Here is an 18,399-nt window from a genome sequence, read left to right as displayed (position 1 = left end):
CAATGAAAACCCATGGACACAGGAAGGGGAACATCACACTCCGGGGACTGTTGTGGGGTCGGGGGAGGGAGGAGGGATAGCATTAGGAGATATATCTAATGCTAAATGACGAGTTAATGGGTGCAGCACACCAACATGGCACATGTATACATATGTAACAAACCTGCACATTGTGCACATGTACCCTAAAACTTAAAGTACAATAATAATGAAATAAAAATAAAAAATTAAAAAAATTAAAAAATAAAAAAATAAAAAGAACAGCTCCAGTCTACAGTTCCCAACGTGAGCAACGCAGAAGACAGGTGATTTCTGCATTTCCAACTGAGGTACCAGGTTCATCTCACTGGGACTTGCTGGACAGCCCACGGAGTGTGAGCCAAAGCAGGGCGGGGCATCATCTCACCTGGGAAGTGCAAGGGGTCGGGGAATTCCCTTTCTGAGCTAAGGGAAGCCGTGAGAGATGGTACCTGGAAAATCAGGACACTTCCACCCTAATACTGCACTTTTCCAACAGTCTTAGCAAACGGCACACCAGGAGATGATATCCCACGCCTGGCTCAGAGGGTCCCATGCCCACGGAGCCTTGCTCACTGCTAGCACAGCAGTCTGAGATCAAACTGCAAGGTGGCAGCGAGGCTGGGGGAGGGGCGTCTGCCATTGCTGAGGCTTGACTAGGTAAACAAAGCAGCTGGGAAGCTCGAACTGGGTGGAGCCCACCGCAGCTCAGTGAGGCCTGCCTGCCTCTGTAGACTCCACCTCTGGGGGCAGGGCATAGCTGAACAAAAGGCAGCAGAAACTTCTGCAGCCTTAAACGTCCCTGTCTGACAGTTTTGAAGAGAGTAGTGGTTCTCCCAGCACGGAGTTTGAGATCTGAGAACGGACAGACTGCCTCCTCAAGTGGGTCCCTGACCCTCGAGTAGCCTAACTGGGAGACACCTCCCAGTAGGGGCCGACTGACACCTCATACAGCTGGGTGCCCCTCTGAGATGAAGCTTCCAGAGGAAGGATCAGGCAGCAACATTTGCTATTCTGCAATATTTGCTGTTCTGCAGCCTCCGCTGGTGATACCCAGGCAAAGAGCATCTGGAGTGGACCTCCAGCAAACTCCAACAGACCTGCAGCTGAGGGTCCTGACTGTTAGAAGGAAAACTAACAAACAGAAAGGAATAGCATCAGCATCAACAAAAAGGACATCCACACCAAAACCCCATCTGTAGGTCACCATCATCAAAGACCAAAGGTAGATAACACCACAAAGATGGGGAGAAACCAGAGCAGAAAAGCTGAAAATTCTAAAAATCAGAGCATCTCTTCTCCTCCAAAGGAACACAGCTCCTTGCCAGCAATGGAATAAAGCTGGACAGAGAATGACTTTGACGAGTTGACAGAAGTAGGCTTCAAAAGATCAGTAATAACAAATTTCTCCAAGCTAAAGGAGGATGTTCGAACCCATTGCAAAGAAGCTAAAAACCTTGAGAAAAGATTAGATGAATGGCTAACTAAAATAAACAGCATAGAGAAGACCTTAAATGACCTGATGCAGCTGAAAAACACGGCATGAGAACTACGTGATGCATGCACAAGCTTCAGTAGCCAATACAATCATGTGAAGAAAGGGTATCAGTGATTGAAGATCAAATGAATGAAATGAAGTGAGAAGAGAAGTTTAGAGAAAAAAGAGTTAAAAGAAACTCACAAAGCCTCCAATATGGGACTATGTGAAAAGACCAAATCTACATCTGATTGGTGTACCTGAAAGTGACGGGGAAAATGGAACCAAGTTGGAAAACACTCTTCTGGATATTTTCCAGGAGAACTTCCCCAATCTAGCAAGGCAGGCCAACATTCAGATTCAGAAAATACAGAGAACACCACAAAGATACTCCTCAGGAAGAGCAACTCCAAGACACATAATTGTCAGATTCACCAAGGTTGAAATGAAGGAAAAAATGTTAAGGGCAGACAGAGAGAAAGGTCGGGCTACCCACAAAAGGAAGCCCAACAGACTAACAGTGGATCTCTCCGCAGAAACTCTACAAGCCAGAAGAGAGTGGGGGCCAATATTCAACATTCTTAAAGAAAAGGATTTTCAGCCCAGAATTTCATATCCAGTCAAACTAAGCTTCCTAAGTGAAGGAAGTCTTTTCAATCCATTTTGAGTTCATGTTTTTACATGGTGTAAGATAAGAATCTAATTTCACTCTTTTGCATGTGGATATTTAGATTTTCCAATACCTTTAATTAAAGAGTCTGTCCTTTCTTCACTGTGTGTCCTTGGCACCTTTGTCAGAAATCAATTGACTGTAAATTCATTGCTTTATTTCTGGGTTTTCCATCTTGGTCCATTGGTTGATGTGTCTGCTTTTACACCAGTGACATACTGTGTTGATGACAATCACTTTAGAATATGTTTTGAAGTCAGAGAGTGTGATGCCTCCAGCTTCGTTTTGTTTTTGTTTCTGTTTGTTTGTTTTTGCTCAGGATTGCTTTGGCTATTCAGGCTCTTTTGTGGTTCCACAAGAATTTTTTTTTCTATTTCTGTGAAGAATGTCATTGGTATTCTGATATGGATTGCATTGATTATGTAGATTGCTTCGGATAGTATAGTCATTTTGACAATATTATTTTAATACATGAGCATAGGATGCATTTTCATTTGTCTTCTTCAATTTCTTTCAGTAATGTTTCACAGGTTTTTTGTAGAGGTCTTTCATCTCTTTTCTTTCGTTAAATTTTTTCCTAGATGTTTTTCTTTTTTCATAGTTATTGTAAATGAGATTGCCTTCTTGATTTCTTCTTCAGCTATTTTGTTGTTCATATGTAGAAATACTACTGATTTTTATATTAATTTTGTATCCTGCAACTTTACTGAATTCATTTATCAGTTCTAAGAGTTCTTTGTTGGAGTCTTAAGGATTTTCCATACATAAAATTATGTTATCTGCAAAGAGGGACAATTGACTTTCTCTTTTCCAATTTGGATGCCTTTTATTTCTTTCTCTTGATCCCACATGATCATCATGTATTATCTTTTTGATGTGTTGTTGGATTTGGATTGCTTATATTTTGTTAAGGTTTTTACATCGATGTTCATCAGGAATACTGGCCTGTAAATTTCCTTATTTCTTTTGTCATTGTCTGATTTTGGTATCAGGGTAATGCTGACCTTATATAATGATATAGAAAGAATTCTCTATTTTTCAATTTTTTGAAATAGTTTGAGAATTGGTGTTATGTTTTCTTTATAAGTTTGGTAGAATTCAGCAGTAAAGCCATCTGGTTGTGGGCTTTTCTTTGTGGGGAGACTTTTTATTATGATTCAATCTTGTTGTTCATTATTAGTCTATTCAGGCTGTACATGTCTAGGAATTTGTCCATTTACTCTAGGTTTTCCAATTTGTTATCATATAGTTGTTTATAATAGTCTCTACTGATTGTGGGTATTTCTGTGGTATCAGTTGTAATGTCTCATTTCTGATTTTGTGTCATCTCTTTTTTCTTGTTTAGTCTAACACTTTATGAATTTTGTTTATACTTTCAAAAAACAACTTTGCATTTTGATGATCCTTTGTAAATTTTTTTTCTATTCCATTTAGTTCTGCTCTGATCTTTATTACTTTGTTCCTTCTACTAATTTTGGGTTTGGTTTGTTCTTACTTTTCGAGTTCCTTGATGTTCATCATTAGGTTGTTTATTTGAAATTTTTCTACTTTTCTGATGTAGGCATTTATTACTATAAACTTGCCTCTTAGCACTGCTTTTGCTGTACCCACTAGGTTTTGATATGTTGTTTCCATTTCATTTGTCTCAAGAATTTTCCCTCTTAATTCTTTCATTGATCCAATGGTCATTCAGGATCAGGTTGCTTAATTTCCATGTATTTGTAAGTGTCCAAAGTTCTCTTGTTATTGATTTCTAGGTTTTTTTCTACTGTGGTCTGAGAAGATATTGGGTATGATTTTGATTTTTTTTAATTTGTTCAACTTGTTTTGTGGCCTAACATATAGTCCATCCTGGAGAGTATTTCATGTGCTGATGAGAATAATGTGTTTTCTGCAGCTGTTAGATAAAATATTCTGTAAATGTCTGTTATGTCCCTTTGGTCTATAGTGCAGATTAAGTTCAATGTCCAGTGTTGAAAGTGGAGTGCTGAAGTTCCCAACTATTATTGTTTTGGGTCTATTTCTCTCTTTATCTTGAATAATATTTGCTTTATATATCTGGGTGCTCTGTTGTTAGTTGTATATATATTTACAAATTGTAATATCCTCTTGCTGAATTGATCTCTTTATTGTTACATAATTACCTTCTTTGTCTCTTTTTGGTTTTTGACTTAAAGGCTATGTTGTCTGACATAAGTATACCTACTCCTGCATGCTTTTGGTTCCATTTGCATGGCATTTTTTTTTTCATTCCTTTACTTTCAGCCTATGTGTGTCTTTACAGGTGAGGTGGGTTTCTGGTGGGCAGCATATAGTTGGGTCTTGTTTCTTAATTCATCTTTTAATTAGGGAATTTAAACCATTTATATTTAGTTATTACTGATACGTGATGATTTACTCCTGTTATTTTGTTAATTGCTTTCTGATTATTTTATATATGCTTCATTTCTTTCTTTCTCCTTTATGATTTGGTGGGTTTCATAGTGATAACATTTGACTCCTTTCTCTTTCTCATTTGTGTCTCTGCTCTACCAGTGAGTTTTATATGTTTGTGTTTTATGATGGTGAATATCATGCAATTCCAGATATAGGACTCTCTTAAGCATTTCTGATAAGGTCAGTCTAGTGGTGATGAATTCCCTTAGTTTTTGCTTATCTGAGAAAAACTTTATTTCTCTTTGCTTTTTAAAAAGGGCTTTGCTTGTTAGTATTCTTGCCAGACATTTTTTTTCTTTCAGCACTTTGAATATATTATCCAATTCTCCCCTGGCCTGTAAGGTTTCTGCCAAGAAATCCACTATTATCTTGATGAGGATACCCTTATATGTGACTGGACAGTTTTCTTCCTGTTTTTAGAATTCCTTTTTTGTTTGTTAGTTTGACTTTTGACAGCTTAACTTTTGAGTTTTTACTACAATATGCCTGAGAGGAGATCTTTTTGGATTGCATCTATGTGGAAATATTTAAGCTTCCTGTATCTGCATGCCTATATTTCTTTCAAGACTTGAGAATTTTTCAACTATTATTTCATTAAATATGTTTTCTATGCCTTTGCCCATCTCTTCTCTTCTGAAAACCCCCAGATTCAAATATTTGGTTACTTTCTGGTGTTTCATATGTCACATAGGCTTTCTTCATTCTTTTTTATCTTTGGATGACCAAGTTATTTCAAAAGACCTGTCTTCAAGTTCAGAAATTTTTTCTGGCTGGGTACAGTGGCTCATGCCTATAATCCCAGCACTTTGAAAGGCCAAGATGGTAGAATTGCTTGAAGCCAGGAGCTTGAGAAGATCCTGGACAACAAAGCAAAATCCCATCTCCACAAACAATAAAAAGAAATTAGCCAGCCTGTAGTACCCACTACTTGAGAGGCTGAGGCAGGAGGATCACTTGAACCCAGGAATTCGAGGCTGCAGTGTGCTATGATCATGCCACTTCACTGTAGCCTAGGTGTAAAGGAATAAATTTTTTCTTCTGTTTGATCTAGTCTATTGCTGAAAGGCAATTTTATTTTTTATTTAATTCACTGAATTATTCAGTTCCAGGATTTCTGTTTGGTTCTCTTTTATGATATCTATCTCTTTGTTGAATTTCTCATTCAAATCATGAATTGCTTTATTCTTTGTATTGCTTATCTTATTCACTTGTATCTCACTAAGTTTCTTCAATAACATTATTTTGAATTATTTTTCATGCATTTCATAGAATTATTTTTCTTTAGACTCTGTTATTGGAAAATCGTGTTCCTTTGGAGGTGTCATGTTTCCTTGCTTTTTCATATTTCCTGTGTATTTACTTTGATAGCTGCACATCTAGTATTACAATTGCTCTTCCAATTTGTATGGATTAGCTTTTATAGAAAAATATTTTTTCTGTAGATATGTCTATAGTGTTGGCTGGGGAGAGTGTTTTGGCTTTGCCTCCGGGTGGGTGCAGTAGTATAATCTCCATATGATTTTTTTGGCTGTTATCAGCATCAATGATATCTGTGAGTTCCTCAGTGGCTTGGGTTGTGGTTGTTAGTAAAGACTTTGGTGAGGTTTTGCTGGGGACAGGAATGCCAGGTGGGCTAGTCCTCAGGAACCAGTGGTGGCAGCAGGAGGCCAGGCATGCTGGTCCACAGGCTCCCAGATGGCATAAGTGGGCACCAGTGGTAGTTCTGGGTGGGCCAGTCCTTAGGCCTCCAGGAGGTGTGCATAGGTGCCAGTGGTGTCAGCAGCAAGCCAGATGGGCAGGTCCTTGGGCCCTTGGGTGGTGTGCTTACCGTAGTGTGCTCAGGATTGCTGGTGACAGTGGCAGTAGCAGCAACAGGCCAACCCTCAGGCCCCTGAGCAGCATATGCAGGCATCAGTGGTGTTTGTGGAGGGCTGGGCAGAGCAATACTCAGGCCCATGGCTGGCTCACACAGGTAGATGCCCGCAGCAGTGGCGGTAGATTGCATGGGTTGGTCCTCAGGACTTCAGGAGGCACATGTGGGCACTGGCAGTGGGCCAGGCAGACCCACTTTTATGCCCCTGGATGTTACAAATGGGCACTAGTAGCAGCAGTAGAACAGGCCTGTCCCCAGATCTCTGAAGATGTACATGGGCACTGGTGGTGATGGGCAGGGTGGGTTGATCCCAGACCCCTGGACGTCACATGCAGGTGCTGACATTGGTGGCCATGGTCAGAGTGAACCTGTCCTCTGGCTCCTGGATGGTGCAGGTGGGCTCCAGCAGCAACAGGCAAGGCAGATACATCTCCAGCCCCCCAAACAACATGTACAGATGTCAGCAGTGGTGGCACTGAGTGGAGCAAGCCTGTCCTCAGGCCCCAGATGACATGCACAAGCACTGGTAATGAGGGAGCCAGGCAGAGTAGGCCGGTTCTCAGGCCCCTCAATGGTGCAGGCAGTTGTCGGTGGCTGCGGGCAGGATGTGTCATTCCTCAGGTACCCAGATGACATGCGTGGATGCTTGCAGGGGTGGCAATGGGTGAGACAGGCTGGTTCCCATGCCCCTTGAAGTTGAGTGCAGGTATACATTGGCTCTGCCACTGGAAGGAGCAGGATTCCTGTCTATGGCAATAGCCCTCAGGCTCTGGAGAGCACATGGCTTGACTTCTTTTGTCTCGGGGGCAGCCTCACTGCTGCACTGCACCGCTTATTCTCCAGGGTATGGGAGAACATATGGGCTAAATTGCTAGGTATCAGGCTGCATCACTGGGTTCAGGTGGCATCAAGATGCTGCAAACTTCTGTGTGGACATGAGGGGGTCTCAATGGGACTCCAGGGATGTGGAGATGAATGGGGCTGTAAAATGCAGGATGTAGTCTCTTGGGGACTAGAATGTCAAAATGGCACTTTGCTGCAACTGCTTGGGTCTTGGGGTGTGTGTGGGACCCAGCACTAACTTGCTCTATGGAACAATATCGGTTCATGGACTCCAGGGAGCTCCCTGTACTAGTCTCAGGGCCTGCAAGGGCCAAGGGGCTCTCTCATGGCTAGGATTGCAGGAGTTTGCAATGGCAATATAGACTGCTGGGATCTCTCACTTACCTTTTCCCCAACAATGGAGAGTACCTCCTGGCTCTGAGCCAATCCTGGCAGGGTCAGCTGCTTTGCCTCCATTTTGTTCCCTGCCTAAGATATTCCCTGTCACTTCCCTGCTGAATTCCAGTGTTCTCTCTTAGAAGCTGTATTTCACATGTTTATTTGAGATCTTATTTTTTATAAGGGCATTTATTGCTATCAGTTTCCCTCTTAGGACTACTTTTGTTGCATCCCATAAGTTTTGGTGTACTGTATTTTCATTTTTGTTTATCTCAAGTATTTTTTATTTCATTTTTGATATCTTCTGTGATCCATTGATTCTGTAGAAGTATGTTATTTAATTTCCACATGTGTGTATATTCCAAGATTTCTCCTGTTATTGATTTCCAGTTTTATGTTATTGTGATTTGAAAATATGCTTGATATGATTTCAGTCCTCTTAAATTTGTTAAGATTTGTTTTGTGGCCTAAAATATGATCTATCCTGGAGGATGTTCTGTGTACGCTTAAGAAGAATGTGTATTCTGCTGCTGTTGGATAGAATGTTCTGTGTATGTCTTTCAGGTCCATTTGGTCTGAAGTGTAATTCAAGTTCAATGTTTCCTTATTGACTTTATGTCTAGATGATCTGTCCATTGGTGAAAGTGGGGTACTGTAATCCCTACTACTATAGTATTGCAGTCTACCTCTCCCTTCAGATCACTTAATAATTACTTTATGTATTTAGATGCTTCAATATCAGGTTCATATACATTTACAATTGTAACAACTGTAACAATAACAATTATAAATTGGTAAATTAACCCCTTTATCATTATGTAATGACCTTCTTTGTCTCTTTTTAGAGTTTTTTACTTAAAGTCCATTTTGTGAAATATAAGTACAGCTAAACCCACTCTCTTTTGGTTTCCATTTGCATGGAACATCTTTTGCCATCCCTTCACTTTCAGTCTGTGTCTCCTCACTAGTAAAATGAATCTCTTGTAGGTAGCATATGAACTGGATTTTGTTTTTTTTTTTATCCATTCAGCTACTTTGTCTTTTTATTGGATAATTTAATCCATTTGCATCCAAGGTAATTACTGATAGGTAAAGATTTATTATTGACATTTTATAATTTGGTTTCTGATCATTTTGTAGGCCCTTTGCTTCTTTTTCTCTTTTTTTGTCTTCCTTTGTGGTTTGATGGTTTTCTGTGGTGGTATGTTTTGAATCCTTCCTTTTCATGTTTTCTTTAACTTCTATAGGTTTTTGCTTTGTGGTTACCATGAGGCTTACATAAAATATTTTATCCTTAAAACAGGCTTTAAACTGATAACAATTTGCCTTTAATCACATACAAAAACTCTGCACTTTCATTCCTTCCTTCCCATGTTTTCTGATTTTGATGTAAACTTAAAATTTGTGTCCTTTAACAATATACTGTAGCTGCAGTTGTTTTTAATAGTTTTGTCTCTTAACCCTCCTAGTAGTAATAAGATTGCTTCACACACCACCTTAACAGTATTAGAGAATTCTGAGTGGGACTATATATTACTTATACCATTTATTTTTTCACTTTTACATGTTTCCTTTGTTTTTGTTTGTCTGAGAAAGCTTTCATTTCTCCCTCATTTCTGAAGGACAGCTTTGCCAGGTAAAGCATTCTTGGTTAGCAGGTTTTTTGTTTTTTTTTCCTTCAGTACTTTGAATCTATCATCCCACTCTCTCCTGGCCTGCAGTTGCTGCTGAAGAGTTTACTGAAAGCCAAATGGGGGGTCCCTTGAATTTGACATGTTTCTTATATCTCACTGCTTCAGTATTCTTTTTTTGTCTTTGATTTTTGACAATTTGATTATCAAAAATGTGTCTTGTTGAACTCCTCTTTGGGTTGAATTTCACTGATGACCTATGAGCTTCTTGTACCTGAATGTTGTCATCTTTCCCCAGATTTGAAACGTTTTTCTTAGATGTGCTTAAATATGTTTTCCTTATACATGCATATGCATTTCCTTAAATCTGCTTTCTAGGGCTTTTTCTCTCTATTCTCCTTCAGGAATTTCTATTACATAAAGGTGAGTCCACTTGATGGTGTCCCATAATTACTACAAGCCTTTGTTTTATTTTTTTTCTCTTTTTGCTCCTCTGATTGGCTAATTTTAAGTGTCTTATTTTAGAGCTAACTGATTCTTCTGCCCAATCAAGTCTGCAGTTGATGCTTTCTATTGAGTTTTTCAGTTCATTTATTGTATTCTTTATGTCTAGGATGTTTATATGGTTAGGAGTTTTCTGTTTCTATTTCTTCATCAAACTTCTCATTTTGTTCATGAATTGTTTTTCAATTTTTATTTAATTTTCAATTTATATTTTCTTGGAGGTCCTGAAACTTCTTTAAGAGGGTTATTCTGGGGAGGAGCCAAGACGGCCGAAGAGGAACAGCTCCGGTCTACAGCTCCCAGTGTGAGCGACACAGAAGACGGGTGATTTCTGCATTTCCGTCTGAAGTACCGGGTTCATCTCACTAGGGAGTGCCAGACAGTGGGCGCAGGTCAGTGGGTGAGCGCACCGTGCACGAGCCGAAGCAGGGCGAGGCATTGCCTCGCTTGGGAAGTGCAAGGGGTCAGGGAGTTCCCTTTCCTAGTCAAAGAAAGTGGTGACAGATGGCACCTGGAAAATCGGGTCACTCCCACCTGAATACTGCACTTTTCCGACGGGCTTAAAAAACGGTGCACCAGGACATTATATCCTGCACGTGGCTTGGAGGGTCCTACGCCCACGGAGTCTCGCTGATTGCTAGCACAGCAGTCTGAGATCAAACTGCAAGGCGGCAGCGAGGCTGGGGGAGGGGCGCCCGCCATTGCCCAGGCTTGCTTAGGTAAACAAAGCAGCCAGGAAGCTCCATGGGTGGAGCCCACCACAGCTCAAGGAGGCCTGCCTGCCTCTGTAGGCTCCACCTCTGGGGGCAGGGCACAGACAAACAAAAAGACAGCAGTAACCTCTGCAGACTTAAATGTCCCTGTCTGACAGCTTTGAAGAGAGCAGTGGTTCTCCCAGCACACAGCTGGAGATCTGAGAACAGGCAGACTGCCTCCTCAAGTGGGTCCCTGACCCCTGAGCCCCGAGTAGCCTAACTGGGAGGCACCCCCCAGCAGGGGCACACTGACACCTCACACGGCAGGGTATTCCAACAGACCTGCAGCTGAGGGTTCTGTCTGTTAGAAGGAAAACTAACAAACAGAAAGGACATCCACACCAAAAACCCATCTGTACATCACCATCATCAAAGACCAAAAGTAGATAAAACCACAAAGATGGGGAAAAAAAAAGGCAGAAAAACTGGAAATTCTAAAAAGCAGAGCGCCTCTCCTCCTCCAAAGGAACGCAGTTCCTCACCAGCAACGGAACAAAGCTGGACGGAGAATGACTTTGACGAGCTGAGAGAAGAAGGCTTCAGACGATCAAATTACTCCGAGCTATGGGAGGAAATTCAAACCAAAGGCAAAGAAGTTGAAAACTTTGAAAAAATTTAGAAGAATGTATAACTAGAATAACCAATACAGAGAAGTGCTTAAAGATGCTGATGGAGCTGAAAACCAAGCCTCGAGAACTACGTGAAGAATGCAGAAGCCTCAGGAGCCAATGCAATCAACTGGAAGAAAGGGTATCAGCGATGGAAGATGAAATGAATGAAATGAAGCGAGAAGGGAAGTTTAGAGGAAAAAAGAATAAAAAGAAATGAGCAAAGCCTCCAAGAAATATGGGACTATGTGAAAAGACCAAATCTATGTCTGCTTGGTGTACCTGAAAGTGATGGGGAGAATGGAACCAAGTTGGAAAACACTCTGCAGGATATTATCCAGGAGAACTTCCCCAATCTAGCAAGGCAGGCCAACATTCAGATTCAGGAAATACAGAGAACGCCACAAAGATACTCCTCAAGAAGAGCAACTCCAAGACACATAATTGTCAGCTTCACCAAAGTTGAAATGAAGGAAAAAATGTTAAGGGCAGCCAGAGAGAAAGGTCGGGTTACCCACAAGGGGAAGCCCATCAGAATAACAGCTGATCTCTCGGCATAAACTCCACAAGCCAGAAGAGATTGGGTGCCAATATTCAACATTCTTAAGGAAAAGAATTTTCAACCCAGAATTTCATATCCAGCCAAACTAAGCTTCATAAGTGAAGGAGAAATAAAATCCTTTACAGACAAGCAAATGCTGAGAGATTTTGTCACCACCAGGCCTGCCCTAAAAGAGCTCCTGAAGGAAGCACTAAACATGGAAAGGAACAACCGGTACCAGCCGCTGCAAAATCATGCCAAAATGTAAAGACCATCGAGACTAGGAAGAAACTGCATCAGCTAACAAGGAAAATAACCAGCTAACATCATAATGACAGGATGAAATTCACACATAACAATATTAACTTTAAATGTAAATGGACTAAATGCTCCAATTAAAAGACACAGACTGGCAAATTGGATAAAGAGTCAAGACCCATCAGTGTGCTGTATTCAGGAAACCCATCTCATGTGCAGAGACACACATAGGCTCAAAATAAAAGGATGGAAGAAGACCTACCAAGCAAATGGAAAACAAAAAAAGGCAGGGATTGCAATCCTAGTCTCTGATAAAACAGACTTTAAACCAACAAAGATCAAAAGAGACAAAGAAGGCCATTACGTAATGGTAAAGGGATCAATTCTACAAGAACAGCTAACTATCCTAAATATACATGCACCCGATACAGGGGCACCCAGATTCATAAAGCAAGTCCTGAGTGACCTACAAAGACACTTAGACTCCCACACATTAATAATGGGAGACTTTAACACCCCACTGTCAACATTAGACAGATCCACGAGACAGAAAGTTAACAAGCATATCCAGGAATTGAGCTCAGCTCTGCACCAAGCCGACCTAATAGACATCTACAGAACTCTCCACCCCAAATCAACAGAATATACATTTTTTTCACCACCACACCACACCTATTCCAAAATTGACCACATACTTGGAAGTAAAGCTCTCTTCAGCAAATGTAAAAGAACAGAAATTATAACAAACTATCTCTCAGACCACAGTGCAATCAAACTAGAACTCAGGATTAAGAATCTCACTCAAAACCGCTCAAATACATGGAAACTGAACAACCTGCTCCTGAATGACTACTGGGTACATAACGAAATGAAAGCAGAAATAAAGATGCTCTTTGAAACCAACGAGAACAAAGACACAACATACCAGAATCTCTGGGACACATTCAAAGCGTGTGTAGAGGGAAATTTATAGCACTAAATGCCCACAAGAGAAAGCAGGAAAGATCCAAAATTGACACCCTAACATCACAATTAAAAGAGCTAGAGAACCAAGAGCAAACACATTCAAAAGCTAGCAGAAGGCAAGAAATAACTAAAATCAGAGCAGAACTGAAGGAAATAGAGACACAAAACACCCTTCAAAAAATTAACGAATCTAGGAGCTGGTTTTTTGAAAGAATCAACAAAATTAATAGACCGCTAGCAAGACTAATAAAGAAGAAAAGAGAGAAGAATCAAATAGACGCAATAAAAATGATACAGGGGATATCACCACCGATCCTACAGAAATACAAACTACCATCAGAGAATACTACAAACACCTCTATGCAAATAAACTAGAAAATCTAGAAGAAATGGATAAATTCCTCGACACATACACTCTCCCAAGACTAAACCAGGAAGAAGTTGAATCTCTGAATAGACCAATAACAGGAGCTGAAATTGTGGCAATAATCAATAGCTTACCAACCAAAAAGAGTCCAGGACCAGATGGATTCACAGCCGAATTCTACCAGAGGTACACGGAGGAACTGGTACTATTCCTTATGAAACTATTCCAATCAACAGAAAAAGAGGGAATCCTCCCTAACTCATTTTATGAGGCCAGCATCATCCTGATACCAAATCCTGGCAGAGACACAACCAAAAAAGAGAATTTTAGACCAATATCCTTGATGAACATTGAGGCAAAAATCCTCAATAAAATACTGGCAAACCGAAACCAGCAGCACAGCAAAAACTTATCCACCATGATCAAGTAGGCTTCATCCCTGGGATGCAACGCTGGTTCAATATACAAAAATCAATCAATGTAATCCAGCATATAAACAGAACCAAAGACAAAAACCACATGATTATCTCAATAGATGCAGAAAAGGCCTTTGACAAAATTCAACAACCCTTCATGCTAAAAACTCTCAATAAATTAGGTATTGATGGGACGTATCTGAAAATAATAAGAGCTATCTATGACAAACCCACAGCCAATATCATACTGAATGGGCAAAAACTGGAAGCATTCCCTTTGAAAACTGGCACAAGACAGGGATGCCCTCTCTCACCACTCCTATTCAACATAGTGTTGGAAGTTCTGGCCAGGGTAATTAGGCAGGAGAAGGAAATAAAGGGTATTCAACTTGGAAAAGAGGAAGTCAAATTGTCCCTGTTTGCAGACGACATGATTGTATATCTAGAAAACCCCATTGTCTCAGCCCAAAATCTCCTTAAGCTCATAAGCAACTTCAGCAAAGTCTGAGGATACAAAATCAACGTACAAAAATCACAAGCATTCTTATACACCAACAACAGACAGAGAGCCAAATCATGAGTGAACTCCCATTCACAGTTGCTTCAAAGAAAATAAAATACCTAGGAATCCAACTTACAAGGGATGTGAAGGACCTCTTCAAGGAGAACTACAAACCACTGCTCAATGAAATAAAAGAGGATACAAACAAATGGAAGAACATTCCATGCTCATGGGTAGGAAGACTCAATATCGTGAAAATGGCCTTACTGCCCAAGGTAATTTACAGATTCAACGCCATCCCCATCAAGCTACCAATGACTTTCTTCACAGAATTGGAAAAACTACTTTAAAGTTCATATGGAACCAAAAAAGAGCCCGCATCGCCAAGTCAATCCTAAGCCAAAAGAACAAAGCTGGAGGCATCACACTACCTGACTTCAAACTATACTACAAGGCTACAGTAACCAAAACAGCATGGTACTGGTACCAAAACAGAGATATAGATCAATGGAACAGAACAGAGCCCTCAGAAATAACACTGCATATCTACAACTATCTGATCTTTGACAAACCTGAGAAAAACAAGCAATGGAGAAAGGATTCCCTATTTAATAAATGGTGCTGGGAAAACTGGCTAGCCATATGTAGAAAGCTGAAACTGGATCCCTTCCTTACACCTTATACAAAAATCAATTCAAGATGGATTAAAGACTTAAATGTTAGACCTGAAACCATAAAAACCCTAGAAGAAAACCCAGGCATTACCATTCAGGACATAGGCATGGGCAAGGACTTCATGTCTAAAACACCAAAAGCAATGGCAACAAAAGCCAAAATTGACAAATGGGATCTAATTAAACTAAAGAGCTTCTGCACAGCAAAAGAAACTACCATCAGAGTGAACAGGCAACCTACAAAATGGGAGAAAATTTTCACAACCTACTCATCTGACAAAGGGCTAATATCCAGAGTCTACAATGAACTCAAACAGATTTACAAGAAAAAAACAAACAACCCCATCAAAAAGTGGGCAAAGGACATGAACAGACACTTCTCAAAAGAAGACATTTATGCAGCCAAAAAACACATGAAAAAATGCTCACCATCACTGGCCATCAGAGAAATGCAAATCAAAACCACAATGAGATACCATCTCACACCAGTTAGAATGGCAATCATTAAAAAGTCAGGAAACAATAGGTGCTGGAGAGGATGTGGAGAAATAGGAACACTTTCAGACTGTTGGTGGGACTGTAAACTAGTTCAACCATTGTGGAAGTCGGTGTGGCAATTCCTCAGGGATCTAGAGCTAGAAATACCATTTGACCCAGCCATCCCATTACTGGGTATATACCCAAAGGATTATAAATCATGCTGCTGTAAAGACACATGCACAGGTATGTTTATTGCAGCATTATTCACAATAGCAAAGACTTGCAACCAACCCAAATGTCCAACAATGATAGACTGGATTAAGAAAATGTGGCACATATACACCATGGAATACTATGCAGCCATAAAAAAGGATGAGGTCATGTCCTTTGTAGGGACATGGATGAAATTGGAAATCATCATTCTCAGTAAACTATCACAAGAACAAAAAACCAAACACCTTATATTCTCACTCATAGGTGGGAACTGAACAATGAGAACACATGGACACAGGAAGGGGAACATCACTCTCTGGGGACTGTTGTGGGTTGGGGGGAGTGGGGAGGGATAGCATTGGGAGATATACCTAATGCTATATGACGAGTTAGTGGGTGCAGTGCACCAGCATGGCACATGTATACATATGTAACTAACCTGCACATTGTGCCCATGTACCCTAAAACTTAAAGTATAATAATAAAAAAAAAGATTATTTATCACAGGAAAAAAAAAGACGGTTATTCTGAATTCTTTGTCAGTAATTTCATAGATCTCCATTTATTCTGGGTCTTTCATTGGAGCCTTATTAGTTTCTTTTGGTAATGTCATATTTCCCTGATTTTTCATAATCCCTGTATCTTTACATTAATGCCTGCACATTTGAGGATATGACCACCTCTTGGCCTTTGCAAGTGTGCTTTAGTGGTGACATACCTTTAGTATTTAGTCTGCCCTGACATTCTAAATAAGCCACTGGTAGCAATCCTGAACAGTCAGACTTTGATGTCAGGTTCTCTAGTTGGACTGGGTCAGTTTCTATATTCTGAGCTTGAATAAACTAGTTGTGCTCCATGGTTTGGTGGAACCACTGACTTGACTCTGCCATTACGTGAAGCTGATAACTGGACTCTGTGAACATCTCAAATCAGGCAGGCTGTCTTCTCCGTCTAGACAGTACTATTGTTTGGAATCCATAGTTGGCTATGTCCTGGGCTTTGAGACTGAGTGAGGTTTCTGAAATTGCTGCTCAGAGACATGGGAGGGCAGGCCAGAGGCTATGCTCCACAAATACGTGTGGACTTGGGCTTATATCCCAGCCTAGGATAAGCTTAAGTAGAGCACCAAGTTTGATGGAGTTGCCACTCATCAGCTGAGGTTGGATAGGGCCAGATGTTCCCTCTGCAGACCTGAAGTTGCCTCCCAGTCTAGGGAAGACTTAATGAGAGCACCAGGACTTATTTGGATTACCTCTATGCTACCAGGGCTGGGCAGGGCGAAGTGCTCCCTCTGAGGGTAATCTCTAACCTGCAGTTGCCTCTTGACCTGGGGAAGCCTTAACAAGAGCACCTGAGCTGTATGGGGAAGCTGGCTAGGTATTCAAGGCCAGAAGACCAAAGGACCGTGTTTCCTACAGCCTGATTTTGTTGGCTAGTTTGTCTGGTGTGGTACCTTCAGCTGCCAAAATGCAAAGCAACTGCCAAGATCTGCACTGACCACTGTGAAGCCCACCCTTGTTCTTTGTTTCTCACTGACCATAGGTGGTCCAGCCTGGCTGGTACTCCCAATGTTTCCTGTAGGATAAGACAAGACTGAGCCTCCACTAAAAAAAAGGTCTCAGAATAGTGGAAAGCTGAATGTCTACCTCCAGCTCACTACTCCCACTGTAAAAACCTTGGGTCTGGAGGAATTCTCTGTGTGTGGCCCTGTGCCAGCTTGAAGCAGGGGCAATGCAGTCAAAGAGAGCCATTCCTCTTACCATTTAACATGGCTTCTCTCAGATTTATAGTTCAAGAGGCTGTCTCAGCCTCACTCTCGAGTTCTAGGGTATTCGCAATGATATTCTTGCCAGTGGATAGTTGCTAGTGGAATTTATGTTGTGGAGAGTGAAGCTAGAGAACACCTATTCTATTCTGTCATCTTGCTGATGAATAGATTTTTATCTTTTAAAGCAATTTTAGGTTCACAGTCAGGTTTAGTGGAAAGTACAGAGAGTTCCCACATAGCTCCTGCAGACACTCCCCTACCATCAACACGCTGCACTAATGTGGTACATTTGTTACCACCGATGAACCAACACTGACGTATTTCTATCAACCTAAGTCCATAGTTAATATTAGAGTTCACTCTTTCTGTTGTACATTCTGTGGGTTTTGGGAAATGTACAATGGCACAAATCTATCATTATGGTAACATACAGAGTATTTTCACTGTCCTAAAAATCCTCTGTGCTCCACCTATTCATTCCTGCCTCCACCCAAACCCCTGGAAACCACTGATCTTTTTATTGTCTCCATTGTTGAATGTCACATAGTTGAATGTCACATAGTTGAAAATGTACAGTATGTAGTCTTTTCAGATTGACTTCTTTCAGTTGGCAAAATGCACTTAAAGTTCCTCCAGGTCTGCTTCATGTCTTGGTAACTTGTTTCTTTTTTACACTGAACAATGTTCCATTGTGTGGATATATCACAGTGGTGAACATTTTTTAAAGAGAAAAGCCCAACCCAGATTTACTGCATCAGACATTTTATGTGTGTTTTAACCAGATCCTCAAGATGGCTCTGATATATATCTGGGTAGATGATTATAAAGATTCCTCCTAGATTTAAAAAATAAGTGCATTAATGCTCCCTAGATTTAAGATGCTTCTTTTCCTTTGAGGAAAAATATATATTTCCTCTAAGGTGGGCATGTCTGTGCTCCATCGCCGCATCTTTCACTCAGTCAGTAAGTCCTGGTATAGGGAGATTGTAGAAGAATCTGAGCAGAGTGACTGCTCCCAACT

The 18,399-nt window shown here is 40.7% G+C and overlaps 2 annotated features.

Annotated features, from left to right (window-relative positions):
- Positions 142–642: an enhancer, noted in NCBI's record as "H3K4me1 hESC enhancer chr16:59026875-59027375 (GRCh37/hg19 assembly coordinates)". NCBI's record gives its function as "activates a minimal SCP1, AML or CMV promoter by ChIP-STARR-seq in primed H9 embryonic stem cells {active_cell/tissue: H9 hESC(primed)}" and the evidence as "EXISTENCE:reporter gene assay evidence [ECO:0000049][PMID:30033119]".
- Positions 643–1,143: an enhancer, noted in NCBI's record as "H3K4me1 hESC enhancer chr16:59026374-59026874 (GRCh37/hg19 assembly coordinates)". NCBI's record gives its function as "activates a minimal SCP1, AML or CMV promoter by ChIP-STARR-seq in primed H9 embryonic stem cells {active_cell/tissue: H9 hESC(primed)}" and the evidence as "EXISTENCE:reporter gene assay evidence [ECO:0000049][PMID:30033119]".

The sequence above is a fragment of the Homo sapiens genome, chromosome 16 (assembly GCF_000001405.40).
Source record: "Homo sapiens chromosome 16, GRCh38.p14 Primary Assembly".
Taxonomy (NCBI): domain Eukaryota; kingdom Metazoa; phylum Chordata; class Mammalia; order Primates; family Hominidae; genus Homo; species Homo sapiens.
This window is presented reverse-complemented; position numbering and strand designations above follow the sequence as displayed.